This window comes from Homo sapiens, chromosome 7, assembly GCF_000001405.40.
Source record: "Homo sapiens chromosome 7, GRCh38.p14 Primary Assembly".
In the NCBI taxonomy this organism is placed as follows: Eukaryota; Metazoa; Chordata; class Mammalia; order Primates; family Hominidae; genus Homo; species Homo sapiens.
The window spans coordinates 2,353,618-2,381,022 of NC_000007.14; the positions used below are offsets into that span (position 1 = coordinate 2,353,618).

The 27,405-nt window shown below is 51.7% G+C and overlaps 2 protein-coding genes across 10 annotated transcripts in view, besides 7 other annotated features; one reads left to right on the plus strand and one right to left on the minus strand.

Annotated features, from left to right (window-relative positions):
- Positions 1-556: an enhancer, noted in NCBI's record as "NANOG-H3K27ac-H3K4me1 hESC enhancer chr7:2393253-2393808 (GRCh37/hg19 assembly coordinates)". NCBI's record gives its function as "activates a minimal SCP1, AML or CMV promoter by ChIP-STARR-seq in naive H9 embryonic stem cells {active_cell/tissue: H9 hESC(naive)}" and the evidence as "EXISTENCE:reporter gene assay evidence [ECO:0000049][PMID:30033119]".
- SNX8 (sorting nexin 8) overlaps positions 1-880 on the minus strand; it is a 102,728-nt gene extending 101,848 nt beyond the window's left edge. The window contains exon 1 of the mRNA XM_017012084.3: positions 605-880. The gene's annotated coding sequence lies outside the window, so the exon portion shown is untranslated. The remainder of the gene's footprint in view (positions 1-604) is intronic.
- Positions 227-296: an enhancer, noted in NCBI's record as "active region_25527". NCBI's record gives its function as "activates an Ori minimal core promoter by ATAC-STARR-seq in GM12878 lymphoblastoid cells {active_cell/tissue: GM12878}" and the evidence as "EXISTENCE:reporter gene assay evidence [ECO:0000049][PMID:35858748]".
- On the plus strand, positions 469-27,128 carry EIF3B (eukaryotic translation initiation factor 3 subunit B). 9 transcript variants are annotated; one of them, XM_047421000.1, is made up of 21 exons: positions 469-578; positions 907-1,499; positions 1,617-1,803; positions 7,093-7,285; positions 9,028-9,147; positions 9,453-9,510; positions 10,015-10,143; positions 10,755-10,912; positions 12,700-12,831; positions 12,908-12,974; positions 13,382-13,428; positions 15,855-16,065; positions 18,160-18,232; positions 19,056-19,178; positions 20,911-20,989; positions 21,772-21,910; positions 23,333-23,458; positions 25,072-25,149; positions 25,517-25,625; positions 25,777-25,894; positions 26,564-27,128. In XM_047421000.1, exons 2-20 carry the CDS (start codon positions 1,305-1,307, stop codon positions 25,878-25,880), a joined length of 2,328 nt encoding a protein of 775 aa, XP_047276956.1. In that variant the 5' UTR covers positions 469-578; positions 907-1,304; the 3' UTR covers positions 25,881-25,894; positions 26,564-27,128. The 9 variants fall into 9 exon arrangements, with proteins under 9 accessions (XP_047276956.1, XP_011513901.1, XP_047276957.1 ...); XM_011515599.2 differs by having other exon boundaries at positions 907-1,803; XM_047421001.1 differs by lacking the exon at positions 907-1,499.
- Positions 1,097-1,236: a silencer, noted in NCBI's record as "silent region_17867". NCBI's record gives its function as "represses an Ori minimal core promoter by ATAC-STARR-seq in GM12878 lymphoblastoid cells {active_cell/tissue: GM12878}" and the evidence as "EXISTENCE:reporter gene assay evidence [ECO:0000049][PMID:35858748]".
- Positions 1,417-1,506: a silencer, noted in NCBI's record as "silent region_17868". NCBI's record gives its function as "represses an Ori minimal core promoter by ATAC-STARR-seq in GM12878 lymphoblastoid cells {active_cell/tissue: GM12878}" and the evidence as "EXISTENCE:reporter gene assay evidence [ECO:0000049][PMID:35858748]".
- Positions 1,557-1,666: a silencer, noted in NCBI's record as "silent region_17869". NCBI's record gives its function as "represses an Ori minimal core promoter by ATAC-STARR-seq in GM12878 lymphoblastoid cells {active_cell/tissue: GM12878}" and the evidence as "EXISTENCE:reporter gene assay evidence [ECO:0000049][PMID:35858748]".
- Positions 23,143-23,642: an enhancer, noted in NCBI's record as "H3K4me1 hESC enhancer chr7:2416395-2416894 (GRCh37/hg19 assembly coordinates)". NCBI's record gives its function as "activates a minimal SCP1, AML or CMV promoter by ChIP-STARR-seq in naive H9 embryonic stem cells {active_cell/tissue: H9 hESC(naive)}" and the evidence as "EXISTENCE:reporter gene assay evidence [ECO:0000049][PMID:30033119]".
- Positions 25,731-26,231: an enhancer, noted in NCBI's record as "H3K4me1 hESC enhancer chr7:2418983-2419483 (GRCh37/hg19 assembly coordinates)". NCBI's record gives its function as "activates a minimal SCP1, AML or CMV promoter by ChIP-STARR-seq in naive H9 embryonic stem cells {active_cell/tissue: H9 hESC(naive)}" and the evidence as "EXISTENCE:reporter gene assay evidence [ECO:0000049][PMID:30033119]".
- Positions 27,129-27,405: the final 277 nt, after the last annotated feature.

Genomic DNA, 27,405 nt, shown 5'->3' on the forward strand with positions numbered 1-27,405 from the left:
TGGCATCAAGTACATTCACCATGTTGTACCATCACCACCGTCATCTCCAAAACGTTCTCATCCTCCCAAATTGAAGGTCCGTCCCCGATAAACACTCCCCACTCTCCACCCCAGCCTCTGGGTACCACCTGTTTTATTTATTTATTTAATTTTCGTAGAGATGAGGGCTGGCGTGCGGGGGGTGGTGGTGCTATGTTGGCAAGGCTGGTCTCCAACTCCTAAGCTCAAGCGATCTTCCCACCTCAGCCTCCCAAAGTGCTGGGATAACAGGCGTGATCCACTGGGTTGTTTTCTAGGATGATTAAGACATCCCCCAACCAGTGGTTGTCCTCCACTCCGGCAAAAAACAAGATAGAAGCCACATGCACCCAATGCCCGTCCCGTGAGCACCCGCGCAGAGCGAACCGCTCCGGTCCCTCCGGAGTCAGCCTCGAGCTCCACGCGGCGAGGACCCGCCCCCGCCCCCACGTGACCCGCGCTGTCCCGCGCTGAAGGCGGCGGCCTCGGATGGACTGAACCACTGTGAAAGCCCGAATGGGGGGAAACAGGCAGTGACGGCCGCTAGGGAAGGACTGGGGGTAAGCGATTAAAGAAACTTCCATACATTTTTGTATCGCGCCAGGCAGTCGTCCTTCTAGTCGTGTGGGCCCTCTCTGGCTCGCCCCGAATTCCTTTTCTATTTTGAAGTAGTCTGTCCTTTTGCTCAGTCAGTAGGCGAGTCCAAGTGACAGACACGGACAGGGGGGACTTTAGTAACGTAAACTAAACGGTTTCCCTAGCGAAAGGCTCAGACGCCCTGAGCAATCGCCTGTTGAGTCTCCACTCTTCCAGGGTATTAACTGTTGAGTTAGAGGACATTTTCCTAGCATTCCGGGTACTAAAATCATTTCTTGTCCCCGCCTTCAGCTCCACAAATAGTTCAGTCCCGCCCCGCAGCGTCCGACGGGAAAGGAAAGGGGGAGGACGCCATGTTGGACGGAACCATCTGCTGCCACACATGGGGTGGTCAATGCTCCCATGAGTTTACTGATGCACAGAAACAACCTTGCTGAATGGAATTAAGCACTTTCTTGTCACAAATATATCAGTTTGATGATTTTCGGGCGCGGTCTTGTGGATGCGAGTCCTCTCAGGGTCGTTCGTGAGGCCCCAGGGCGTGGGTGCGCCCCCCGCCCCGCGGCCTTGGTGCGGCCTCCCCGTCGCACGCACATGGCTGGGCTGTAGCCGTCGCGGCGCGCGGTGCGGCCTGGGAGAGTCGGAAGCGCGGCGGCCGCGGAGCCCTGCGAGTAGGCAGCGTTGGGCCCATGCAGGACGCGGAGAACGTGGCGGTGCCCGAGGCGGCCGAGGAGCGCGCCGAGCCCGGCCAGCAGCAGCCGGCCGCCGAGCCGCCGCCAGCCGAGGGGCTGCTGCGGCCCGCGGGGCCCGGCGCTCCGGAGGCCGCGGGGACCGAGGCCTCCAGTGAGGAGGTGGGGATCGCGGAGGCCGGGCCGGAGTCCGAGGTGAGGACCGAGCCGGCGGCCGAGGCAGAGGCGGCCTCCGGCCCGTCCGAGTCGCCCTCGCCGCCGGCCGCCGAGGAGCTGCCCGGGTCGCATGCTGAGCCCCCTGTCCCGGCACAGGGCGAGGCCCCAGGAGAGCAGGCTCGGGACGAGCGCTCCGACAGCCGGGCCCAGGCGGTGTCCGAGGACGCGGGAGGAAACGAGGGCAGAGCGGCCGAGGCCGAACCCCGGGCGCTGGAGAACGGCGACGCGGACGAGCCCTCCTTCAGCGACCCCGAGGACTTCGTGGACGACGTGAGCGAGGAAGGTGAGGGCGCCCGGGGCGGGGCTGGCGAGCGGCGCGGGAGCGTGGCTGGGGTTCCCGAGGTGGGAGATATCGTCGGGCTGTGCCACCGGTTCGTGCAGAAGTTCCAGCGAGGGTGTCCGTGTGTTCCTGAGAAGCCACCGAGGGAGGGGTTCCCGAGTGCCCTGGAAGTGTTCTGAGAGCCCAGCGCCTCCCCTTTTCTTTCCTGAAAAAGGGGACAGGGTGGAGCTCACTTCGGGAGCCAGGCATTTGCATGACAACCAGAAATCTGAGAGGGTGGGAGAGGGCACATGGGGTACTCCGTTATGGCTGGGTGTGCTGTGAGTGTAGCAGCTGGGGGTACGGCAAAAACCGAAGACCCGGTGGCAGGTTTGCGGGTCTACGTGTCCCCAGAGCTGACCAGTCAGACCTCCCAAGGTCTGGATCGGAGGAACAGCTTGTGGCAGAGCCGGTGATTTTGTCCTCCTGCCCCTCAGAATTGTCCATCTCCAGAGACTTCCTTAGTGGGACAGGCACCCTGTGAAATTCCAGTTTGATTTTTCTTTATCTCTTGCGCTAAATCTATAAAGAGAGTTATTTTTCCAGGTTTTAATATTGCCGATAACAGCCAGCTTTGCCTTCATCTCAACCTTGATTGGATTTACAGGCATATTTTTGCTTCCTGTCTCAGAGATTTTTTCCTGAAGCTACTTCTGATGAGAGCTGGTCTCATTTGTTTTTCTTTTGTTTTTTAGCTCTCTTAAGCCTTTAAGTTGGGAACACATCAGCCTCTGCAGATTGGCTAAGTTGATACTAGAGTGAGAAAAATAAAAATACCCTTGCTGATGTAGCCAGCGATACACCAGGACAATTTCGGGAATAACATGGAGTTGCCAATTTATGATTTAAACGTATTTTTAAAAGGCTATCAGAGGGCCGGGCTGGGTGGCTCACGCCTGTAATCCCAGCACTTTGGGAGGCCGAGACGGGTGGATCACGAGGTCACCATCCTGGCTAACACGGTGAAACCCCGTCTCTACTAAAAATAAAAAAAAATTAGCCGGGCGTGGTGGCGGGCACCTGGATTTCCCAGCTACTCTGGAGGCTGAGGCAGGAGAATGGTGTGAACCTGGGAGGCGGAGCTTGCAGTGAGCCGAGATCCTGCCACTGCACTCCATCCTGGGCGACAGAGCAAGACTCCGTCTCAAAAAAAAAAAAAAAAGAAAAAGAAAAAAAGGTTATCAGAAATACAAGTCAGCCAGGTGTGCTGGTGCACACCTGTAGTCTCAGGTACTTGGGAGGCTGAGGCACGAGAATCACTTTAACCCAGGAGGTGGAGGTTGCAGTGAGCCTAGATCCCACCACTGCCTGGGCGACAGAGTGAGACCCTGTCTCAAAAAGTGAAAAATTAAAAAATAAAAACGCTGTCAGTTACTGTGACCATTACTATATTACACTTTTTTTTTTCATAAAAGACATTTTAGCATGAAAAGCAGGAAGGACACCACAAACTAAAGACTTTGGGAACATCTAGTCTACGCCCCTCAGTCCTGAGGAAACTTGTCCCTGAAGGTGGAGTAGGCTGCTGAGAATTCCCAGTGGGTCTATACTGCTTGGCCCACCAGACTCTCCTGCTCAGAACAGTGTTCTTTCTAACGCTTCAATTGTTATTATGGTTTAAAAATCAAAACTTTTGGTTTAATGATTATTTTGAGCCCTTGGATATTCTGCTACTTTTTTAAAAAGCATTATTTGAGCCCATCGAATTCACAGATTTCTAATACGTAGATTACTTCTGGAATTGGGAAGAGTCAGAGGATGCTAATATGACGACAGGGTTGGCCAGGCTGGGTGACGGCTGTGGGTCCTCAGCGGGCCCACGTGGCCCTGAAGGTGCAGTGTTGGCCAGAGTGACAGGTGAGGCATCTGGTCCTGAGGACTAAGGCTCAGGAAGCCGACTTTGTCATGGCCCTCCTGGTTGTGGTAACGCAGGTTTTGTGCTTTATGAGAAGAGCTGCCCTTCAGGGTCATTGTGCAAGACCGTAGGTGACTGTATCAGTTCTTTCCAGAAGGGCCAAGTCTTCCAAGGAGCAGGCCAGAGGTGGCCTGGAGTCCCTGTCTTGCTTTATTACTTTTTTGGTACAGATTAGCTTCTCAAACTGTAATCATCCTTTCAGTTTAATGTTTCAGCTGATCCAGGATTTTAACTCTAAATGTCTTTTTTGGCTCATTAACTATTCTTTCTCTTTCTATTTGCTATTTAGTGTTGAGAATTGTTCTCTTCTGTTTTTCCTGGAGACCGCTTGGGAATCCATGAGCCACGTGTAACCGATGCTTGGGCTGAGAGTGATCAAGGCGTTGTGTCTTCATGGTGTAGTTACTTCATTTATTTCCTTCCTACGTGTGGGCAGTTTCTCCTAGACTAGACGCTTTGAGCTTGTGGGAAGGAGTACCCAATTTGTGTAAAAGTTGAGCTTTTTATTGCAGCCTTATAAATTCAGATCAGGCTTGTCAGGCTATTTAATTGTATGGTAAGTGCTTTAGAAGTTACCCTAGGATTTGACTAGTTTCCATAGCAGGGTGTCCGGCACTGCAGTGACTGGCAACTGCCTTTTTCCCTTTTTTTTTCTCTTGTTCGTCTCAATTTTAGCATCGTTGAAAATAAAACGGCGATTATTTTTTAAGGCAGTATTTTCAATATTTCCTTTTTTTTTTTGAGACAGAGTCTCATTCTCTTGCTCAGACTGGAGTGCAATGGCTCACCGCAGCCTCTGCCTCCCCGCTTCAAGCGATTTTCCTGCCTCAGCCTCCCAAGTAGCTGGGATTATAAGCATGTGCCACCATGCCTGGCTACTTTTTGTATTTTTAATACAGATGGGGTTTTGCCTTGTTGGCCAGGCTGGTCTCGAACTCCTGGCCTCATGTGATTTGCCTTCCTTGGCTTCCAAAAATGCTGGGATTACAGGCGTGAGCCACCATGCTGGGTCAGTTTTCAATATTTCCGAAAGTGTTTTTTTGAGACGGAGTCTTGCTCTGTCGCTGGAGTGAGCCACCATGCCCAGCCAACTTTTGAGAATAAATACAGTAAAGAATATTTTCGGACATCTGCATATTTAGTATGTTGGAATTATCATTATTATTATTATTTGAGATGGAGTCTCACTCTGTCTCCCAGGCTGGAGTGCAGTGGCATGATCTTGGCTCACTGCAACCTCCATCTCCTGGGTTCAAGCGATTCTCCTGCCCCAGCCTCTCCAGTAGCTGGAATTACAGGCACCCACCACCATGCTTGGATCATTTTTCTCGTATTTTTATTAGGGACAGGTTTCACCATGTTGGCCAGGCTGGTCTTGAACTCCTGGCCTCAGGTAATCTGCCTGCCTCGGCCTCCCAAAATGCTGGGATTACAGGCGTGAGCCACTGAGCCTGGCCGTGTTCTAAATTCTGACACGTGATGCTTTCCAGCAGCCCTGCGAGGCATTTCATCACATCAAGAACAGCTTCACCTACCACTAAGAAAAAAATACTGTTATTTAATCTCAGTGGGGGTGGCAGCTCCCACCTGTAGTCCCTGCTACTTGGGAGGCTGAGGCAGGAGGATTGCTAGAGCCCAGGAGTTCCAGGCTAGCCTGGGCAGCATAACAAGACCCTGTCTCTTTACAAAGAAAAAAAAAAGTTGTTTCAGGAGCTTGTATATTCTCCAGTCTCCTAGTTTAAGTGCCGGTCTCTGCCCTGATAGTGTTTTTCAAAAAGGCTCTTTGTGATATAATTAAGAAATGTGTATTTGGGCTCTGCCTGGCTCTTGGCACTCAGCGTCTAAACCCTTGTAATTTCCAAAGTGGTAAGTGTCTTTTTGTAGACGAGGACTTGATTGATGGCTGGGGCTCCTTGCCAGGGAACCAACCACGTGATTAGAGGGTGGGACCTTTTAGGTCTCCCCCTGCCACCCAGAAGGAAGAGGGCTGAAAGTTGAGTTGATCACCGGTGCTCAGTGATGTCATTAATCACGCCTCTATAATGAGATCTTCATAGAAACCCAAAAGGACCAGGTTCAGGGGCTCCATGCAGCGGAACAGGTGGAGGCTTCTGCAGGGTGGTGGCCTGGAGAGCACAGGGAGGCTCTGCGCTTCTCCTCCATCTGCCTTTTCGTCTATATCCTCTGTAACGTCCGTTATAATAAGCTGGCAAACCTAGCTCTCTGAATTCTGTAAGCTGCTGCAGTAAATTAATGGAACCCAAGAAGCGAGGGATAGTGGGAGCCCTGCTTTGTAGCCTGTCGGTCAGAACCGGAGGTGACAGCCCACTACTTGCGACTGCCATCTGAAATGGGGGCCAGTCTTTGGGGCTGAGCCTTCAGCCTGTGGGATCTGATGCTAATTCCTGGTAGATAGTGTCTGAATTGGATTAAGTTAGAGGACACCCAGCTGGTGGCCCCTGGAGAACTGCTTGATGCGACACCCACGTCCGGTGTCAGGCGTTGTGTTGAGTGTTACGTGAGTAGGAAAGACACTGTCACATCCCTGTCTCCTGCAGTTCAGTTGTTTATCCTTAGAGCTTTTTAACCTAAGGAATATTGGGTAAAGATTGTTCTGAACGAAGGTGCGTGGTGGTGGGCTCTGCAGCGGAGAGAGGTGGGGAAGCTCACCCCAGACGCGCTTCCTCTTTGGGTTTTTTCCCCATCCCCTGTGAATGGCCATCCAGTTCACGGCCTGAAAACATGAAAATCACTGGGAACAGGAGGTGGGAGAAGAGTTACTACTTTCATCCCAGTTCACTCGAGAGAGGGTTCCTCCTTGAATAATTTCTGGTAATTTGTATTCACAGCACAAATGTGCTGTGAATATATTGAGCATTTAAATATTTACTTGTTTGCTAAAATCTTCTGTAAAAAGTCAGTTTTCATTGACATTGGGATGGGATTCTGCCTGCCTAGATGTTGCAACAAACCTTTCAAAATCTAGGCATCTCTGGAAGATCTAATAGTGGATATTCTTGAGATGGTCTTCTTCATTTGCATTGTGCATTGTTAAAAGCTTTTCACTGTTATTCTCCTGTAGTCTTTGGTTATTACCAGAACTTAATTGACCTGTCTTGACTGTTTACATTTCCATCAAAGGGAGAGAGGAGAGTTCCAGTCCCCCCAGCTGTCATGTTTAAAATCTGAAACAAGCTAGGGTTAGGATTTCTTTTGCTCACAGTGAAAGCATTTAGACAATTCATTGTCTCTTCTTGAAGACTTGTTTAGTGTGCTCAGTTAATGTATTAATGTTTTTCTTGGTAAAAATGATCATTTGAAAAATCTCTCTTGTTCAGAATTACTGGGAGATGTACTCAAAGATCGGCCCCAGGAAGCAGATGGAATCGATTCGGTGATTGTAGTGGACAATGTCCCTCAGGTGGGACCCGACCGACTTGAGAAACTCAAAAATGTCATCCACAAGATCTTTTCCAAGTTTGGGAAAATCACAAATGATTTTTATCCTGAAGAGGATGGGAAGACAAAAGGGTGAGTGTTCTCCTGTTGGAGAAGTATCATCTGTGTCTGGCACGTCATGATGAGGGAGTGTTGCAGGAGATCCTTACTAACACAGCTCCTGCCTTGCCCAGGCACGTGGGCCGTTCACTTCTTCAGGCCGCCCTCAGCTGGAAGCTATCCAGAGCAGTGAATGAGAAGATGATAAAGTTTGTTTTTTTAAGTTAAGGTTTTAAAGTTTTTAAAATTATCTAGAATAGGCCAGCATGGTGGCTTATGCATAAACTCCCAACACTCTTGAAGCCTGAGGCCAGGAGTTGGAGGCTGCAGTGAGCTATGATAACGTAGCTGTACTCCAGTCTGGGTGACAGAGCAAGACTCTGTCTCTAAAATAAATAAATAAAGTAAAAACTAACTAGAATAGTTTTAGTTTCTAGAATTATCAAATACAGGTAATGCTGCTGCATTTTCTGTGTTGGGCAGTCAGTTGAAGGATGGCCTCTTGACCCTCAGTTACTCGTGTTATAATGAAACATTCTCTGAGGTTCTTTCTTTCTTTCTTTTTTTTGAGTCGGAGTCTCGCTCTGTCGCCCAGGCTGGAGTGCAGTGTCGCAATCTCGGCTCACTGAAAGCTCCGCCTCCCAGGTTCACACTATTCTCCCGCCTCAGCCTCCCTAGTAGCTGGGACTACTGGCGCCCGCTACCACGCCCGGCTAATTTTTTGTATTTTTAGTAGAGACGGGGTTTCACCATGTTAGCCAGAATGGTCTCGATCTCCTGACCTTGTGATCCACCCGCCTCGGCCTCCCAAAGTGCTGGGATTACAGGCCTGAGCCACCGCGCCCGGCCTCTCTGAGCTTCTTTCTAATCTTGCCTGTAATACACAATATTAGACTACTTTTAAGTTTTTTTTGTTTGTTTGTTTGTTTGAGACAGTCTCACTCTTGCCCAGGCTGGAGTGCAGTGGTGTGATCTCAGCTCACTGCAACCTCCGCCTCCCGGGTTCAAGCAATTCTCCTGCCCCACCCTCCCAAGTAGCCGGGATTACAGGCGCACACTACCACGCCTGGCTTGCTTGCTTGCTTATTTATTTATTTATTTATTTATTGAGACAGAGTCTTGCTCTGTCACCCAGGCTGGAGTGCAGTGGCACGATCTTGGCTCACTGCAACCTCCGCCTCCCAGGCTCAAGCAATTCTCCTGCCTTAGCCTCCTGAGTAGCTGGGATTATAAGCATGTGCCACCATGCCCGGCTAATTTTTGTATATTTAGCAGAGACAGGGTTTCACCATGTTGGCCGGGCTGGTCTCGAACTCCTGACCTCAAGTGATCTGCCCACCTTGGCCTCCCAAAGTGCTGGGATTACAGGTGTGAACCATTGCGCCCAGCCAAGATTTTTTTTTAAACAGCTTTATTGAGATAATTGATATACAGTAAATCTGCATAGTTTTAAAGCGTACAATTTAATACATTTTGATGTGTACATATCACGAAACCATCGCCACAGTCAAAATAATGGACGTTTTGATTAACTTTTCTATAATTATGATAATGAAACTAGAGACTTCGGATCTTCTGGTTAGGATTTCCCTGTCACTTAGGAGCTCCCTGGCTGTGGATCTGTCCCCCGTGTGACTGCCTTAGGCTCGAGGCAGGAAGAGCAGCACAGATACTCCTGGCACCGAGGGCTTGTCCGTGGAGAGGGGTGGGGCGGACAGCGCATACCTGCCTAGCCTTACAGTGTGGGTATGTGCCAACGGCCCTCTCTCACTCAGGTATATTTTCCTGGAGTACGCGTCCCCTGCCCACGCTGTGGATGCTGTGAAGAACGCCGACGGCTACAAGCTTGACAAGCAGCACACATTCCGGGTCAACCTCTTTACGGATTTTGACAAGTGAGTTCAGACTTGGCCACAAGGAAGTGGACGTTGACGTGCAAGTGACTGGCTGTGTGCGGGTGGCTTGGTGCTTCTCGGTGCTGGTGTCTGTCAGATTGTTCACATCCTTTCTGGTCAGGCTGCCGCAGAGCCATTTCACAGCCCTGCCCCACACTTCTGGCCTACAGCACCCCTCCCTGTTATGCCAGTCACAGCCCTGGGGGCGGGCAGGCAGGAGCACAGCAGGGCCATGCTGGAGCCCCCACGAGTTGCTCTTTCTAGTCGTCAGGGCGTGGGGCTCAGCAGTCTCCTTTCTTCTCCAGGTATATGACGATCAGTGACGAGTGGGATATTCCAGAGAAACAGCCTTTCAAAGACCTGGTGAGTGGCCTGAAACCTACATCTCAGTGGTTTAAAGAAATGCTGCTGGGTGTGGTGGGTCACACCTGCAATCCCAGCACTTAGGGAGGCTGAGGTGGGAGGATCGCTTAAGCCCAGGAATTCAAGACCAGCCTGGGCAACAAAGTGAGACCCCCGCCTCTACAAAAAGTAAATAAATACATACATTAGCTGGGCCTGGCATGCACCTGTATTCCCAGCTACCTGGGAGGCTGAGGGGGGAGGATCACTTGAGCCTGGGAGGTTGAGCCTGGGAGGTTGAGGCTGCCGTGAGCTATGATTGTGCCACTGGACTCCAGCCTGGGCAACAGCGTGACTCTGTCTCAAAAAAAAAAGAAATGCTAGACGGTGTCTTGACTTGAGGTTAGGGTGTGACTTGGGAGTTAAGATGTGGACTGAACTTGTCATATCTTTAAGAGCAATAGTTGTGAATGAGTTTTTTATTAAAATTAATGAAATGTTATATTCCTTGTCTTTGTTTTTAAGGGGAACTTACGTTACTGGCTTGAAGAGGCAGAATGCAGAGATCAGTACAGTGTGATTTTTGAGAGTGGAGACCGCACTTCCATATTCTGGAATGACGTAAAAGACCCTGTCTCAATTGAAGAAAGAGCGGTGTGTATTTGCTGCTGCTGGGGGCGGGGACTCACCTCTCCTGTATTTCCTTAACAAAGTGGAACTTTGTTTCTATCAGAAAACTGGAAGAGCAGGTGACGTTATATTTTCTTTGAGATTACTTTCTGAAAACAACTTCTTTTATTCCTCTTCCAGCTTTGAAGTAAATCCTGAGAAGTGAACAGGCTTTGTGTATTTCACTTAAGAGTTTGCAGAATAGGCCGGGCGCGGTGGCTCACGCCTGTAATCCCAGCACTTTGGGAGGCCAAGGTGGGTGGATCACGAGGTCAGGAGATTGAGACCATCCTGGCTAACACGGTGAAACCCCGTCTCTACTAAAAATACAAAAAAATTAGCTGGGCATGGTGGCAGGCACCTGTAGTCCCCGCTACTCGGGAGGCTGAGGCAGGAGAATGGCATGAACCTGGGAGGTGGAGCTTGCAGTGAGCTGAGATTGCGCCACTGCACTCCAGCCTGGGAGACAGCGAGACTCCGTCTCAAAAAAAAAAAAAGTTTGTAGAACAGATTCATTGTAGGATAAATTCATTGTAGGAGGGGTCTTTGTGTTTGCCATTTTGTTGTATTAACGTTGGCACTGCCTTTTTCTGCAGAGATGGACAGAGACGTATGTGCGTTGGTCTCCTAAGGGCACCTACCTGGCTACCTTTCATCAAAGAGGCATTGCTCTATGGGGGGGAGAGAAATTCAAGCAAATTCAGAGATTCAGCCACCAAGGGGTTCAGCTTATTGACTTCTCACCTTGTGAAAGGTAAGCTGCTAGAAAAACACAGGGGAGTCTATGCATTTCACCCCATGCCAGCCTTCTACAGGTGATCTTTCATTTTGTAGCATTTCAAACTTAGTAGAAAAATACGGGAGTATGCAGAACGCTAATAAGCTTTTTACTGAGATCTTCTCACATTTGGTTGCATTTACGTCATCATCTCCTATACAGATATTTTTTCCTGAGCCATTTGGGAGTGAGTTGAAATAACATGTCCCTTTAGCCCTGAATGTGTATTCCTAGAAATAGGATTTTGTTAGTGTGACCATAGTGTGGGTACTGACTTCAGGGATTTACCATTCATTTAATACTTCAATGTATTGCCATATTCTGATTTTGTTACTTGACCTAATAATGTTCTGTATAATACTTACTTTCCTTCAGTTCAGGATCTAGTCTAAGGTCACGTATTTTACAGATAATAAATTGTCCTTCCTCTATCACCCAGGCTTGGCGCCACCCAGTGGCACCATTGCAGGCTCATTGCAACCCCAGCCTCCCAGGTCAAGCGGTTCTCCCACCTCAGCCTTCCTGAGTAGCGGGGACCGCAGGCACACGCCATGACATATGGCTAATTTTATTTTTTGTAGAGATGGGGGTCTCACTTTGTTGTACAAGGTAGTCTTGAACCCCTGGGCTCAAGTGATCTCCTGCCTTGACCTCCCAGAGTGCTGGGATTACAGGCGTGAGCCACCGCACCTGGCCGAGCCGTGATTTTTGATCTAGCTAATCCGGCTGTCGGAGGCCTGCTAGGGAAAGGGGCGGTTGTGGGAGGCAGTGTGAGGCGAGCTGGGGCCACTCTAGGGAAAGGGACAGTTGTGGAAGGCAGTGTGAGGCGAACGGGGGCCACTCTAGGGAAAGGGGCAGTTGTGGAAGGCAGTGCGAGGCGAGCTGGGGCCGCTCTGTTTTCGCCCTCATGGGTTGTGTCTGCCTTCCCCTCTGGTGTTGTAAGGGACCGTCTGTTACACACTTTGTGTGAACTGAGTAAGCAGGTGCAGTAGCTCCAGACAAGCCAGCAGTCAGGTAAATCATGGCTGGGAGGAGCCCCCAGGCTCTGAAGTTTCTATCAGACCTGTGCTGGCTTTCGAACTGGATGGGACTTGTTTTTTTGTTTGTTTGTTTGTTTGTTTGTTTTGTTTTTTTTTTTTTTGAAACTGAGTTTCATGCGTCGCCCAGACTGGAATGTAGTGGCACGATACCAGTTCACTGCAACCTCCACCTCCCGGGTTCAAGCTATTCTCCTGCCTCAGCCTCCTGAGTAGCTGGGATTACAAGTGCCTGCCACCACGCCCGGCTAATTTTTGTATTTTTAGTAGAGACAGGGTCTCACCATGTCGGCCATGGTTGGCCAAGCTTGTCTTAAACTCCGGACCTTGGGTGATCCACCCACCTCGGCCTCCCAAAGTGCTGGGATTACAGGTGTGAGCCACTGCGCCCAGCCGTATTTTTTTAACTTGTTAGTCTTTATTAAACATGGGTAAAGATAGAGTTCCACACTGCGCCACCCTCTGGATCACTTAGCAGCCTTGTGTGGGATCGGTGAGATCTTCTGTGCTGATCTTGGAGAAACCGGAGCGCCTGCAGCGTATTGACACCAGAATGAACAAGCGCCGCTGCTTCCCGCTTCCGCTTGGGTCTCTTGGGGCCGGGCAGTGTGGGGTTTGGGGAGAGAGCTGGTTCCGCGAGTTCTGACGGCGTGTTCTGGCCGCACAGACAGACTGTGATCCTCTCGTGAGAGGAGGATAGTGTACAGTGTTGCCCTTCTCTTCTAGGTACCTGGTGACCTTTAGCCCCCTGATGGACACGCAGGATGACCCTCAGGCCATAATCATCTGGGACATCCTTACGGGGCACAAGAAGAGGGGTTTTCACTGTGAGAGCTCAGCCCATTGGCCTATTTTTAAGTAAGTGGACCATTGTAACGAGCTCTGTAGCCTTTGTCTTTTCATGGGAATACCCTGGCACTTTTGTTTTTCTTAGGTGGAGCCATGATGGCAAATTCTTTGCCAGAATGACCCTGGATACGCTTAGCATCTATGAAACTCCTGTAAGTGGCCTCAGTGATGGCAAACGCCCCGTCCGGTCCTTGCTTGTAACCGGGGTGTGGTGCCTTTCCTTATTTGTGCTAGAAGAGGAGGAGGAGGTTTCACAGATGCATAGGAAAGGCCTGTCTCCTGTGCCTTTTTAACTGCCCCTGCTCTGGGCAGAGCTCTTCAGTCACTCCTGCCCACCTGGCGCAGCCGTGGGAAGTCCTGGATGGGAGTTAATGCAGTGGGCTTCAGAACTGCAGTTCTGGGTGGCGGGTGGGTGGATGGGTTCACTGTCACGCTCTGTGTGCACTGCCCCCTAGGCAAACTCACATCAGACTCTTGTTTCCTTTTGTAAAAAGTTAGGTGTGTTTCTGAGACACTGACATGATTTGACTCAACTGCAGCCTTCCTTTTTTTTGGGCAGTCTATGGGTCTTTTGGACAAGAAGAGTTTGAAGATCTCTGGGATAAAGTGAGTATTCTTATCAGTTTGGTGTCTTAGTGTGTTCAGGCTGCTTAACACAATACCAAAAAAAAAAAAAAAAACACAATACCATAGGCTGGGTGGCTTATGACAGCTGAGATTTCTTTCTCCCAGTTCTGGAGCTTGGGAGCTTGAGGTCAGGGTGCCTGCAGACTGTCTGGTGACGGCCCACCTCCCTCCTAGTGGACAGCCCCTCGGTCCAGCCTTCCCTGGAGGAAGGCCTCCGTGGCCTGTTCTGTAAAGTCTCTCATCTCATTCCCAAGGGCTTCCCCCTCAGGACCTCCCACCCCCCAAAAGGCCCCACCCCATGCCGTCACCCCAGGGGGTTAGAATTTCACCCTGTGAATCTGGGGGACACAGACGTGGTCCATTGCAGTTGGTTTCCTTTATTTGCTGTCTCTCCTTTAGCACTCAGCTTTTTGTTGTTGTTGTTAGAGACAGAGTCTCGCTCCGTCAGGCTGGAGTGCAGTGATACGATCTTGGCTCGCTGCAACCTCCACCTCCTGGGTTCAAGTGATTCTTCTGCCTCAACCTCCCGAGTAGCTGGGACTACAGGCATGTGCCACCAAGCCCGGCTAATTTTTGTATTTTTAGTAGGGATGGGGTTTCACCATGTTGGCTGGGCTGGTCTCAAACTCCTGACCTTGTGATCTGCCCGCCTCAGCCTCCCAAAGTGCTGAGATTACAGGCGTGAGCCACCATGCCCAGCCTGTCACTCAGTTCTTAACCAGTTGGAGAGAAAACGGTGAGTTTGTTCTTTTTTTAAAATTTTTTTTTTTTTTTTTTTTTTTTTTTTTTTTTTGAGGCAGAGTCTTACTCTGTCTTGCAGGCTGGTGTAGAGTGGCGAGATCTTGGCTCACTGCAATTTCCACCTCCTGGGTTCAAGTGATTCTCCTTGCCTTAGACTCCCAAGTAGCTGGGACTGCAGGTGCCTGCCACCATGCCTAGCTAATTTTTGTATTTTTAGTAGAGATGGGGTTTCACTGTGTTGGCCATGCTGGTCTCAGAACTCCTGACCTCAAGTGATCTGCCCACCTCAGCCTCCCAAAGTGCTGGGATTACTGGCGTGAGCCACCACACCCAGCCATTTTTAAATCTTTTTTGAGACAGAGTCTTACTCTGTTGCCCAGGCTGGAGTACAGTGGCGTGATCTCGGCTGACTGCAGCCTTCACCTCCCAGGTTCAAACGATTCTGGTGCTTCAGTCTCCTGAGTAGCTGGAATTACAGGCGCGCAACCACTACGCCCAGCTAATTTTTTGTATATTTTAGAAGAGTCGGGGTTTCACCATGTTGGCCAGGCTGGTCTCGAACTCCTGACCTCAAGTGATCCGCCTGCCCGCCTCAGCCTCTCAAAGTGCAGGGATTACAGGTGTGAGCCACCGCGCCCGGCCTAAGGTGAGTTTGTTCTGGACACAAGGATGGAGGCTTGAGTCAGTGGGCAGCAAGGCTGCTCAGCATTGGGCCCGCCACCCTTGAGGCACCACTTCAGTGACCCCTTCCCGTGCCTAGAAATGAATTTTCAAGGCCAGAGCCTTGAGTCGGCTTCCTTCCATCTACCTCGTCTTTGATCTAGAAACTGAGGAGGGTGGGGTTTCCAGCCTTTTAAGGAAAAGAGGGGACTCTGCTTAGGTGAAAGGTTTTCCTGGTACTCTTCCATCCGAGGCAGGGTTTGGGGAGCCTTCGGCTCATTTTCACCAGCAAAGAATGGGCACGTTTTTATTTATCGCAAAACTTGGGACTGGTCAGTATCACGGCAGTGAACTTCCAACAATCCAAGGACATTGACGTTTCTTCTTTCGTTTTTACATTCTTGGGCAAAATTATGGCTTATAAAATGAAAAGACCAGGACGTTGGTTCTCAAAAAATGCAAAACAGCACATAGCGTGTATAAAGATGTTTTTCATGTAGGTGAGCTCAGGAGCCGTTCGTTACAGCAGCTCTTCTGTAGAGTAGTTGATAAAGTGGAGGGAGCTGCCCTTGTTCTTGCTCATTCCTTACACTTGATTTGCCATTTTCCCCATTTGCACCTTAATTAATCTTTAGATGACATGTAGCCAGATCCGTCAGCCTAAAACTTATTTGCCTCAAAGCAGCAGTGTGCGGTGTCTTAAGAGTGGGCTGACGGAGCCCAGGCTGGAGTCCATATGAGTCTGTGCGTGATGGTGGGGTTGCTAATATTCTGTCTGCATTCACTCCTTGTCACAGTGAGCACAGTAGTGCCACAGGGTCCTGGCGAGGACCTATGAAGCTGCGCGGCATGCCCAGAGCAGTGGCTGTGCAGAGGGAGCGCTCAGCGTCAGCTGTGACAGCATTGAGCTTCTATATAGCAAATGAGTTGTTCTATTCTCTTCTGCTTTTCAGTTTCGTCATCACTTGGTCTTTGCTTTAACATTTTATTTTCCTGTTCTGCAGAGACTTTTCTTGGTCTCCTGGTGGTAACATAATCGCCTTCTGGGTGCCTGAAGACAAAGATATTCCAGCCAGGGTAACCCTGATGCAGCTCCCTACCAGGCAAGAGATCCGAGTGAGGAACCTGTTCAATGTGGTGGACTGCAAGCTCCATTGGCAGAAGAACGGAGACTACTTGTGTGTGAAAGTAGATAGGACTCCGAAAGGCACCCAGGTATGTAGATTCCCACAGGAACTGACGATTCCTTATCCTGAGCTCTGAAGTGGCCACCGTATTGTTTGGAGGGTGTTAATGGATTTTTTTTTTTTTTTTTTTTTTTTTTTTTTGAGATGGAGTCTCACTCTGTCACCAGGCTGTAGTGCAGGAGTGCGATTTCGGCTCACTGCAGTCTCTGCCTCCTGGTTTCAAATGATTCTTCTGCCTCAGCTTCCCAAGTAGCTGGGACTATAGGCGTCCACCACCACGCTTGGCTAATTTTTGTATTTTTATTAGAGACAGGGTTTCACCATGTTGGCCAGGCTGGTCTTGAACTCCTGACCTTAGGTGATCTGCCCGCCTTGGCCACCCAAAGGGCTGGGATTACAGGCGTGAGCCACCGTGCCTGGCTGAGAATATTATTTTCTTTCTAAGCACAAGGAGTAGTATACTCAAGATTTATTTTTTTATTTTTTTATTTTTGGTGGTTGATCATTTAATATTTATTTTATCAAAAAATTGCCTGAGTTGGCTGGGTGTAGTGGCCCATGCCTGTAATCCCAGCACTTTGGGAGGCCGAGGTGGGCGGATCATGAGGTCAAGAGATTGAGACCATTCTGGCCAACGTGGTGTGAAACCCCATCTCTACTAAAAGTACAATAATTAGCTGGGCGTGGTGGGAGGCTCCTGTAGTCCCAGCTACTCGGGAGGCTGAGGCAGGAGAATCGCTTGAACCCAGGAGGCAGAGCTTGCAGTGAACAGAGCGAGATTGCGCCACTGCACCCCAGCCTGGCGACAGAGCCAGACTGCGTCTCACAAAAAAAAAGAAATTCCTGAGTTTTCCCTCTAATAGAAGTATTCTTCTTTCTTTTATGTTAAGAAAGCTTTAATTGACATGTAGTTCACATGCCTGAAAACACCCCTTTAGAGTGGTGAACTGGTTCAGTGGTTTTTCGTGTGTTCAGAGTTATGCAGCCACCACCACTCATTTCAGAACGTTTTCATCGGCTGGGTGCGGTGGCTCCCCCGGGGTGGGAGGGAGGATAGCTTGAGGCTAGGAGTTTCAGACCAGCCTGGGAAACACAGTGAGACCCCATCTCCACAGATAATTTTTAAAAGATAGGAAAAAGGCCGGGCACGGTGGCTCACGCCTGTAATCCCAGCACTTTGGGAGGCTGAGGCGGGGCATCACAAGGTCAGGAGATCGAGGGTTTAGTAGAAACCCCGTCTCTACTAAAAATGCAAAAAATTAGCCAGGCGTGGTGGCGGGTGCCTGTAGTCCCAGCTACTCGGGAGGCTGAGGCAGGAGAATGGCGTGAACCCGGGAGGCGGAGCTTGCAGTGAGCCGAGATTGCACCACTGCACTCCAGCCTGGGCAACAGAGTGAGACTCCGTCTCAAAAATAAATAAATAAATAAATGTTTTTGTCACCCTACAAAGAAACAACATACCTGTTAGCAGCCTCTCCGCCCAGCTCCTGGCATCACGAATGTCTATGATTTCCCTATTCTGAACACACAGCTGGAATCGGATACTATGCCACCTTCTGTGTTTGACCTCCTTCACGGAGCACAGCGTTCCCACAGCTGGTCCACGGTGCTGAGTGTCAGCAGTAATCTCTTGTTGGGTGGACCCCGTTTCTTGGCCTCCTTCCTCTGTTGATGGACATCAGGGCAGTTTTCCCTCAGACTCCTCGAGTAGGGCAGGACTTCTTGAAGGTTATGGCTACAGGACACCCCACTGTCTGAAGTGGTTTACCCAGCCCCATTGGTGTGCCTTTAGGGCCCTCAGGACCCTGGCCTGCAGCCTGCAGTGTGGACCCTGGGACTGCTTGTGCCCAAGTGTGGCGGGCAGGGCGGCTCCTGGAGGTGGGATCTGGGTCAGAGTTACTTCATGCATGTCCAGTGGCTTCCAGTAGACGTGGTGCCGGCAGTTCTCCAGCCTTAGAACCGTCTTCCATCCTGAGGGCTGTGGCTTTCATCACTGCACATGCTCGTGTGTGAACCAGGCATGCACACTGAATCTTTCATTGTGACGTTGATCTTTGATTTAAACCTTTTCTCATATTTTCACTGTCCAGAATGTCACCCCTTCCCCCTTTTTTTTAAACAGGGTGTTGTCACAAATTTTGAAATTTTCCGAATGAGGGAGAAACAGGTACCTGTGGATGTGGTCGAGATGAAAGGCAAGTTGTATTTTAGTCACTTTGAGGCGAATGGGGCCTACGTGCTGTTTTACTCTTGGCTTTAACACTTCCATGCGAGGGGTTGTCTGAGCAGCTGAGTCAGGACTGTGAGCCCTCACCATGAATAGTCATCTCCAGGTCACAGAACGTGTTTAGAGCCTGGGCAACATAGTGAGACCCTCTCTGTACAAAAAACAAATAAAAAAAATTAGCCAGGTGTGGTGGTGCGCACCGATAGTCCCAGCTGTTTGAGACGCTGAAGCGGGAGGATCACTTGAGCCCAGGAGCAGAGGTTGCAGTGAACTGAGATTGCGCCCCTGCACTCCAGCCTGGGTGACGGAGCAAGACCCTGTCTAAAAAAAAGAGAAAAGAGATTGAGCCTGTGTTCTTGTTTGGCTTTTTGTTTTGCCATGGAGAAAAGGAGGAAGGAAGGGTTAAAAATAGGTGAGAAAATGGGAAACATGGCCGCCCTTCCAGGCAGGGAGACCGGAGGTCAGGATCCCACTGTAGGTGCACACTGGGTGCGAGGGAAGCGGCATCCACAGCTGCTGACAATGTCGGGCTCCTGCGGTCCTGCTGTGGGTGTCCTGCTCTCAGGAAGGGAGCAGTTTCACGTAGGTCACTCCACACAAGTGGAAGCAGCTGTCTCTGAAACTCCAGGAATGTGCACCTTTCCTGCTGTTGCTTGCTCTCCCGTCCTTTTAATGAACTTTTACACGTCGGGGGATATTTCTCTGTGGTTGAATAGTGAACATTTTAACTGATCAAGAGCACTATGTTCTGAATTGACCAAAAAGGGAGGGGTCTGTTTTGTGCATTTTAGAAACCATCATAGCCTTTGCCTGGGAACCAAATGGAAGTAAGTTTGCTGTGCTGCACGGAGAGGCTCCGCGGATATCTGTGTCTTTCTACCACGTCAAAAACAACGGGAAGATTGAACTCATCAGTAAGTAACCTGGTCCCTTTCCTCTTCTGAGTAGGTCAGCACAGATGATGACCCAGTCGCTGCCCAACAGTGAGCATTTGACTGGCCTAGGACCACTGCTGGGCAGGCCGGGACTCGCCTATGAATGGGGTGTGGCCTCGGCTGATGGAAGTGAGCGATGGCCTGGAGGTGCCGCCTCCTTGCAGGGTGTCTCTCTGAGCCCCGTTGAGCCCTCACGTTTAAGCGAGTATTTCCAAGGCTTCCATTCTCTGCCATCATCTCAAGTGAAGCTTTTTCTCTTCTGGCTGTAGCTGCTGTCCCTGGGCTTGGGGTCACTTCCTGTGGACATACTCCTGCCAGTCCCCAGTCTGGGTCAGGTGCCTTTGACCAGGGTGCGCAGAGCTGTTGCACACAGCTGTACTCTGCCCCCGTGCACCCGGTTCCAGGGGTGCCACACTGCACCCACCTGGGGCTCGCTCCTCACAGTGGTGCGTGGGCCCTCGCCTGTCTCACGGCACCTGCTGCCTGTGCCCTCAGCTCCTCACTTCATCCTGGGGTCTCTGCTCAGCACAGAGCCCGGTGCCCGCGGGGATTGAATGAGCCATTGCTTGTTGCTTCATAGGCGTGGGGTGTGTGTGTGTGGTAGCCAGGAGGTGGCGATGGGCTGTGTTCCTCACACAGGACTCTGGCTGCCAGCTGCCCTCCTGCAGAGCCATGGGTTTGGCTCTGTACCAGGAAGGGGTTGGAATCTCCTGGCCGCACCTTTCGCAGCATGATTCTGTGAGGAGTTTAGTTTTCACTTTGCTAGAGCTTGGCAGGGTGCGTGGTGCCCTCAGTTGGCAGTGGATTACAAGATTGGCTGTTTCATTAATTCTGGTTGATAGAAACATATGGGCAATTGCAGACTGTCCAGAGACTTGTGTAAGTCTTCTAGGTCATAAAACATAGGCAAGCAGAGGCACCTTGTACCTTCCAAACATGCTGCGTGACACGCCTCTCCTGAGGTTTGGCATGGACGCTGGGGCCACCGCATGGGCTCCATCCCATGCCCGTGGCTGTTGGGGTTTTCGCTTGTGCAAGTCTGAGACCCCTGCCCCTGCCAGGGTGCACTGCCCTCCCACATCTCCTCCCCTCCTCCCCACGTCAGCCTGCCCCATGCCTCTTTTTTGGATGTACCACAGGCTGAGGGGAGAGAGGCCACAGGTTGTCAGCTCTGTTTGAGATGCAGGGAGCATATGCTCTGAGGGGGACTTGAGCCAGCCCCAGCTGGCCTTCACTTCTCACTGTTCCAGCGGCTCTGCCCGAGATCCATTCCGGAAGTAAGAGTTAGTACCTGCAAAGATGATGACTGTAGTCAGTTTCAACAAGCATACAGCTTATCCAAAGACGCCTTGTCGCTAGGAGAGTGGCTTTGGTCTTTTGGGGTCACACGTCTCTGACATCTCTCTGTTGGGGTCCCTGCAGCAGTGAACATTTGCTGTAAAGGGAATTCTTTGTCCAGTTACCTCAGGAAATAAGATAGTATTGTTTTGAAATACCCCTGTCGCATCTTCTTTTTTTTCCCATTTAAAGTATGGATCATGACTTAGGGGGTACTTGGCGATGGACTTTGTAAAATTGTTTTCCGAGGTGGTCCAGCATTACCAGCTCTGCCCTCATGGGCAGCATGAGCACGGCCAAGTCCTCCAGCCTTGGCTGCCCCGGCACTGTGGAAGCCCTCGCAGCTCGTGACAGGCGCGCTCTTTCCTTTCAGAGATGTTCGACAAGCAGCAGGCGAACACCATCTTCTGGAGCCCCCAAGGACAGTTCGTGGTGTTGGCGGGCCTGAGGAGGTAGGTGTCTGCGCTCTGAGCCTGTCCGCCCTGTGAGTAGCGCTCTGCTGTGGCAGAGACCCCTCAGGCGCCTGCACCCGGCTTCTTGGTAGAGAGAGTATTGTGCGCTGAAAGGGTTGCCCCAGTGTCAGTGGATAGGACTTCATTGAACCTCTGCAGACCCACGGTACTCCAGGACTCAGGCCAAGCCCGCACAGAGTGAAATAAGCGCTCCCAGATGCTTTCGTGAAGTGACCAGGCAGACCTGTCTGCGGGTTGTGGTTCTCTGTGGTTAAACAAGTGCCTTCCAGCCATCCAGTAACCTCCCCCCGGGGGTCAGTCCCTTGTCTTCTAGTGGGAAGGGTATTCGTTACACAGCTGTGAGGCTGCCTTACCTTTGTGGTTGGTGTCACGGTGTCGGTCTCAGCTGTGTTCCAGCAGTGTGTCGAAATCATGGAGAAGCTTCCAGCTTTCTGCTCTGAGTTAAAAGAATACCCTTTTGTTGCTGCTCTCCCTTGCTTCATTGTCCACACTTGCTACTGTATTTTTGGAGGCTTACTTAGCCTCAGATAACATTTCCAGTAAAAATAATATGATGGCAGTCATATGTAATACTCACTGCACACTCTGCATCTGTGATTTGGTAAGTCTCACAGCGGCCACCAGAGGCTGTTGCTGTGCTTGTTTCCATGTTAACGCCGAGGCTGGCTCCCTGGGGACCCCATGCCGCAGCACCTCTCAGGAGTGGGATGCCAGGAGGTATGCGTCTCCATGAAGCCTGACGGTCCTGTCTGTCTTTGCAGTATGAACGGTGCCTTAGCGTTTGTGGACACTTCGGACTGCACGGTCATGAACATCGCAGAGCACTACATGGCTTCCGACGTCGAATGGGATCCTACTGGGCGCTACGTCGTCACCTCTGTGTCCTGGTGGAGCCATAAGGTGCAGGCCTGTGGGGCATAGTTTTGACTGTGGATAGAAGCAGGGAGTGCTGGCTAGCTGCTGACTCTGGTGCTGTCCTGGGACCTCAGGGAAGGGGCACCAAGCCTCTGTGTTGAACAGAAGCCTTGGCTGGTGTTAGTGGCAGGAGGAGGAGGATTCTGGGTTGTAGAAGAGGTGGCGCCGAGTGCAGGAGCAGCCCCTGCTCATGGTTGCGGGGAGGTGGGGGGTCTTACCCTGGGCCCAGGGACCCCTGAAAAGGAGTGAGAATGTCTGCAGAGAGGAGTCGTTTCCTTTGAAGTCTGAACAGAGTTCCATAACCGCAGACATTAAGATCTGTTTTGGGGTCAGTGGTTGAGTCCAGCTGCCGCGTTACCCACAACTCGTATTCCAAAACTGCTGGTTAAGTTTGTCAAGGACTTTCAGTATTTAGTGACTTGTAAAAACATTGATGGAGGCACTGATACTTGAACTAGTCCATGCCAATAGAGCCTGTGAAACCAAACGCGGGTAATTTTGTTTAATGAGATACAGAATTTGTAGGAATATCAACTTCCCAAATGTTACTGCAAGTGTCTAGAGTTAGAAATCTTCGCATTCGAATCAGGATATGTTGATCACAGCCTGTGTCCAGGTATGTTCAGATGTCACTGCGGTGGGGCCTGCCTTGACACTTGAAATCACTTTAGGCCAGGCACAGTGGCTCACACCTGTAATCCCAGCACTTCAGGAGGCAGAGGTAGAAAAATCACTTGAACCCAGGAGTTTGAGACTAGCCTGAGCAACATAGCGAAACCCTAGCCCCATTAAAAAAAAAAAAAAAAAAAAGACTTTTTAAGCTGTTGACCACTCTCCTTGAGTTATGAACACTTAGCTTCCAAAATGCCGGCCTGCAACAAGGAGTTTATGCTGAGTGCCAGTGAAGGCGCCCTCCTTCATGAGAGAGGCCTGCCATGAGGAGAGCGGAACTAGGCGGCGTGTAGTGATGCAGTTAGCTTACATCCAGCACAGGGCTCCGCACAGCTCACACCCGGCCCAGGGCTCAGCAGTGAGTAGTGCTATGCAGTTAGCTTACGTTTGGCACAGGGTTCAGTCCAGTTTAAATCCAGCACGGGGTTCAGCGGCGCAGTAGTGAGGCAGTTAGCTTACATCCAGCATGGGGTTCTTATTGCCAGCCAGAATGTGCAGGCCTGTGCTGTGATGAGCGCTGCTCCAGCTGCTCCGTGCCCCGCACTCCGGGTCGGTTGCATAATGGAGGTGTCTTGCATTGACTGCCCACCTACCCTGCTGTCAGCTCAGCACAGGCAGAGCTTTGTTTGCTTCACACGTGTCCCCGATACCCAGGACCTTGTTCAGCAAGTGACATAGTCACGGTTGTGGCTCTCTGACCCCTCTGTGTCCTGGTGTGTCCCTGCCCTGGCCTAGGTGGACAACGCGTACTGGCTGTGGACTTTCCAGGGACGCCTCCTGCAGAAGAACAACAAGGACCGCTTCTGCCAGCTGCTGTGGCGGCCCCGGCCTCCCACACTCCTGAGCCAGGAACAGATCAAGGTCAGCATGCCCCCACCCCCGGGTGCAGGGCACATGGAGGCAATTGTGGCGTTGAAAAGGTGTCAGTTTTTTCTGTTATTGTTAGGGTGGTGACTGGGGGATAAAAACGTGACATTTGCAAGGATTCTTTGAAGAGACGCAGGAACAGTGAGAACTGAATGGAATAGAACAGCTTTAGGATAGTAACTTGAGGCTTTCAGCTTCTTTAGGGAAGTTTTGCATGAACCCGAGGGGTGGATAAAAAGATGCCAGGGCCATTAAAAAGTCCTGCTGGGATTAGAAGCGGCTTGTCTGGGATTTACATTATTGTGGTAAAATAGGCCGTTGGTCTTAGGTCAGAGCAAAGAGGAGGGTTAAATCCCAGGGAGAAAGTCCGTCTCAAAGTGAAAGATGGAGGAAGGAGCAGGCACGAGCGCTCCTGGGATGCTGTGTTGTGTGAATGACCCTGGGTGTCAAGGAGGAAGGAGCAGGCACGAGCGCTCCTGGGATGCTGTGTTCTGTGAATGACCCTGGGTGTCATGGAGGAAGGAGCAGGCGCGAGCTCTCCTGGGAATCCGTGTTCTGTGAATGACCCTGGGTGTCAAGGAGGAAGGAGCAGGCGCGAGCGCTCCTGGGATGCTGTGTTCTGTGAATGACCCTGGGTGTCATGGAGGAAGGAGCAGGCGCGAGCGCTCCTGGGATGCTGTGTTCTGTGAATGACCCTGGGTGTCATGGAGGAAGGAGCAGGCGCGAGCTCTCCTGGGAATCCGTGTTCTGTGAATGACCCTGGGTGTCAAGGAGGAAGGAGCAGGCGCGAGCGCTCCTGGGAAGCCGTGTTGTGTGAATGACCCTGGGTGTCGAGGAAGGAGAAGGCGCGAGCACTGCTGGGATGCCGTGTTCTGTGAATGACCCTGGGTGTCATGGAGGAAGGAGCAGGCGCGAGCTCTCCTGGGATGCTGTGTTCTGTGAATGACCCTGGGTGTCATGGAGGAAGGAGCAGGCACGAGCGCTCCTGGGATGCTGTGTTCTGTGAATGACCCTGGGTGTCATGGAGGAAGGAGCAGGCGCGAGCTCTCCTGGGAATCCGTGTTCTGTGAATGACCCTGGGTGTCAAGGAGGAAGGAGCAGGCGCGAGCGCTCCTGGGAAGCCGTGTTGTGTGAATGACCCTGGGTGTCGAGGAAGGAGAAGGCGCGAGCACTGCTGGGATGCTGTGTTGTGTGAATGACCCTCGGTGTCATGGAGGAAGGAACAGGCGAGCGTTCCTGGGATGCTGTGTTGTGTGAATGACCCTTGGTGTCATGGAGGAAGGAACAGGCGAGCGCTCCTGGGATGCTGTGTTGTGTGAATGACCCTGGGTGTCATGGAGGAAGGAGCAGGCGCGAGCGCTCCTGGGAAGCTGTGTTGTGTGAATGACCCTGGGTGTCATGGAGGAAGGAGCAGGCGCGAGTGCTGCTGGGAAGCTGTGTTGTGTGAATGACCCTGGGTGTCATGGAGAAAGGAGCATGCGAGCGCTCCTGGGAAGCTGTGTTCTGTGAATGGCTTTGGGTGTCATGTCATGTTGGCAACTCTGAAGATTGCATTTGTGCTTGTTGCTTTGAATGTTAAATCCTGAGTGATGGGTCTTTTGTTTCAGCAAATTAAAAAGGATCTGAAGAAATACTCTAAGATCTTTGAACAGAAGGATCGTTTGAGTCAGTCCAAAGCCTCAAAGGTGAGCCTCATTCCCAAAATGAGGGCTGTGCTGTGACATCCGCCATCATGGCAAAGGCGGGGCTGCGGGGAGCTGCTGTGTATGTGCTCAGAGTTGCCTCTGCTCCGAAGACACTGGTTCTGTTCCCCCCCAGGAGGGATGCACTGGGGAACTGGGGTTGGCACGGGGACTTGGAGTTGGTGACCTCACTGCTGCCTTGTGGGTGGGGGGCAGCGTTGGGGGAAAAGTGAGAATGAATGGACTAGCCATTCCTGCTTGAGTGCCTCTGTATGCTGTCCTTCTGGCACCGTCCGCCTGGGTGTGGGCTCTTCGCGATGGGGAGGCACTTGTCTTACCAGTTCTGTGCTTTCCCCAACCTCATGCATAGGAATTGGTGGAGAGAAGGCGCACCATGATGGAAGATTTCCGGAAGTACCGGAAAATGGCCCAGGAGCTCTATATGGAGCAGAAAAACGAGCGCCTGGAGTTGCGAGGAGGTAACTTAGAGATCCCTCAGTCCCCAGGAGCTGGCCCTTACGCTGCCCCTGGGCCCTGGTGCCCGCGGACTCCTGCGTTCCTTCCCACTGGCCTCGGCGGTGCCACTAGGCATGTGCCCCCATGGGTGATCTGCGCCCTTTGTCCCCTCAGGGGTGGACACTGACGAGCTGGACAGCAACGTGGACGACTGGGAAGAGGAGACCATTGAGTTCTTCGTCACTGAAGAAATCATTCCCCTCGGGAATCAGGAGTGACCTGGAGCACTGTGGTGAGCGTCTGCAGGGGGCGCGATGGGGGTCCTGTTGGCTGCTCATGCTGCTTCAGTTATCCCCGTCACTGAGGAAGCACCTCCTTTAAGGCAGGGGTGAAGGGTGAAGCCCTAGTGTCATGTGCCCAGGGTTAGCTGAGCCTCGTGTGAAATGTAGAGTCGGTGCCGACGTGGCCTCGACTGCGCCCTCTGACCACATTGCAGATGGCGCCTTTCAGGCAGTGCTGGGTGAGGGAGGAGCTGTGGCCAGGTGTTGGGAAGTGCCAGGAAGAGGAGGGTGGCCATGCCTGGCCATTTCCTGATACCTGTGCTAGTGACGGCCGCGGTGTGTCCACTGGAAAGAAACACTGGCGTGCACGGCTGTGACTGTGGTTTCAGCAGTTCTGAGACAAGAGCCTTCCAAGTCGGGGGCTGGGGAGCAGAGTGCGGGAGCTCCTGAGTCCTGGGGGCCTCCGCGCCTCACAGCATGGGCACATGTGGGACAGAAGGCCTAATGGGGTGCCTGAGGGTGGCCTGGTTGCTGTCCCCCCAGGGTGGGACCATGAGCGAGTAGGGGTGGCACACGGGCTCAGCTCTCTGTGGCCGGGGTGGCTCCTCTTGCGGGACTCAACGTCAGCCCCAAGGCGATGTTCAGGGGGTCCCTCAGCCTTTTGAGGTGGTGCCGTTTAGGGCCGCCATGCCTGTCTATCCAGGGGACGGACTCCGCCTGCTGTTCCCGCGCTGAGCTACAGGACTCCCGAGTGTGAGCCGCGGTTCCTCTGTTGCAGCGCAGCCGTGTGTGCTGTGGAGCCGAGGCCGTCCTGCAGGAAGCCGCGTGACTCCCGCCTCCTCCCTGTGCTCTCTGGCTCTGGACTGTGACTGCGCCTGGATTCTGCCATTGCGACACATTTTTGTGCCTTTCAGCCCCTGGTGTCTGCAGTGGGGGATTTAAGGCACCCGCTTCCACTTCTTTCTTGTTTGGAGTTTTCTGTTGGAACCGCCGGCGTTGGCTCCGAAGACTTAGCGACGCCACTGGCGGCACCTTCTCCTGCGCCCAGTGATGTTTCCACGGTGCCTGTACACAGCCGAGCAGCATTTCCGTTGAAGGACTTGCATCCCCATTGCGGGCAGTGCTGGACGTGTCCCGGAGACCCACCGGGAGGGCGCCGCCATGCCTTGTACCCCCACCGTGCAGGTTGTGGCCGGTTTTCTCCGCAGGTTGAACATGGAAATAAAAGCAAACTTGTATGAAAAACCGGTCTTTCTCCTCTCTTTGAATGTAGATAGAGACCTTGAACTTGGTGCCTGCCTCCCTCCCCAGTGGCAAGGGCCTGCTTGCCAAGCCAGACCTCTGCAGGGCGCTGTCCCGTCCGGTCGTCACGCACACTCGGCCACCCTGTGTCCAGCGATGCACTAGTCATGCCACAGTCTCTTCTGTTGCGTTGTTTTCTGTGAAAGATGCTGGTCATTTTCCCTGGTGAGAACCCTGTGACTTTTCCTTGGAGTTAGACACATTGGGAAACTTGTATTGA

What these genes read in the sequence shown, in the direction of transcription:
- EIF3B (XM_011515599.2), top strand. Translation starts at nt 1,305, where the DNA reads ATGCAGGACGCGGAGAACGTGGCGGTGCCCGAGGCGGCCGAGGAGCGC. An exon ending in AACAGCCTTTCAAAGACCTG is followed by an intron (nt 9,511 to 10,014) that starts GTGAGTGGCCTG and finishes TTTGTTTTTAAG; the next exon opens with GGGAACTTACGTTACTGGCT. An exon ending in TTGAAGATCTCTGGGATAAA is followed by an intron (nt 13,429 to 15,854) that starts GTGAGTATTCTT and finishes CCTGTTCTGCAG; the next exon opens with AGACTTTTCTTGGTCTCCTG.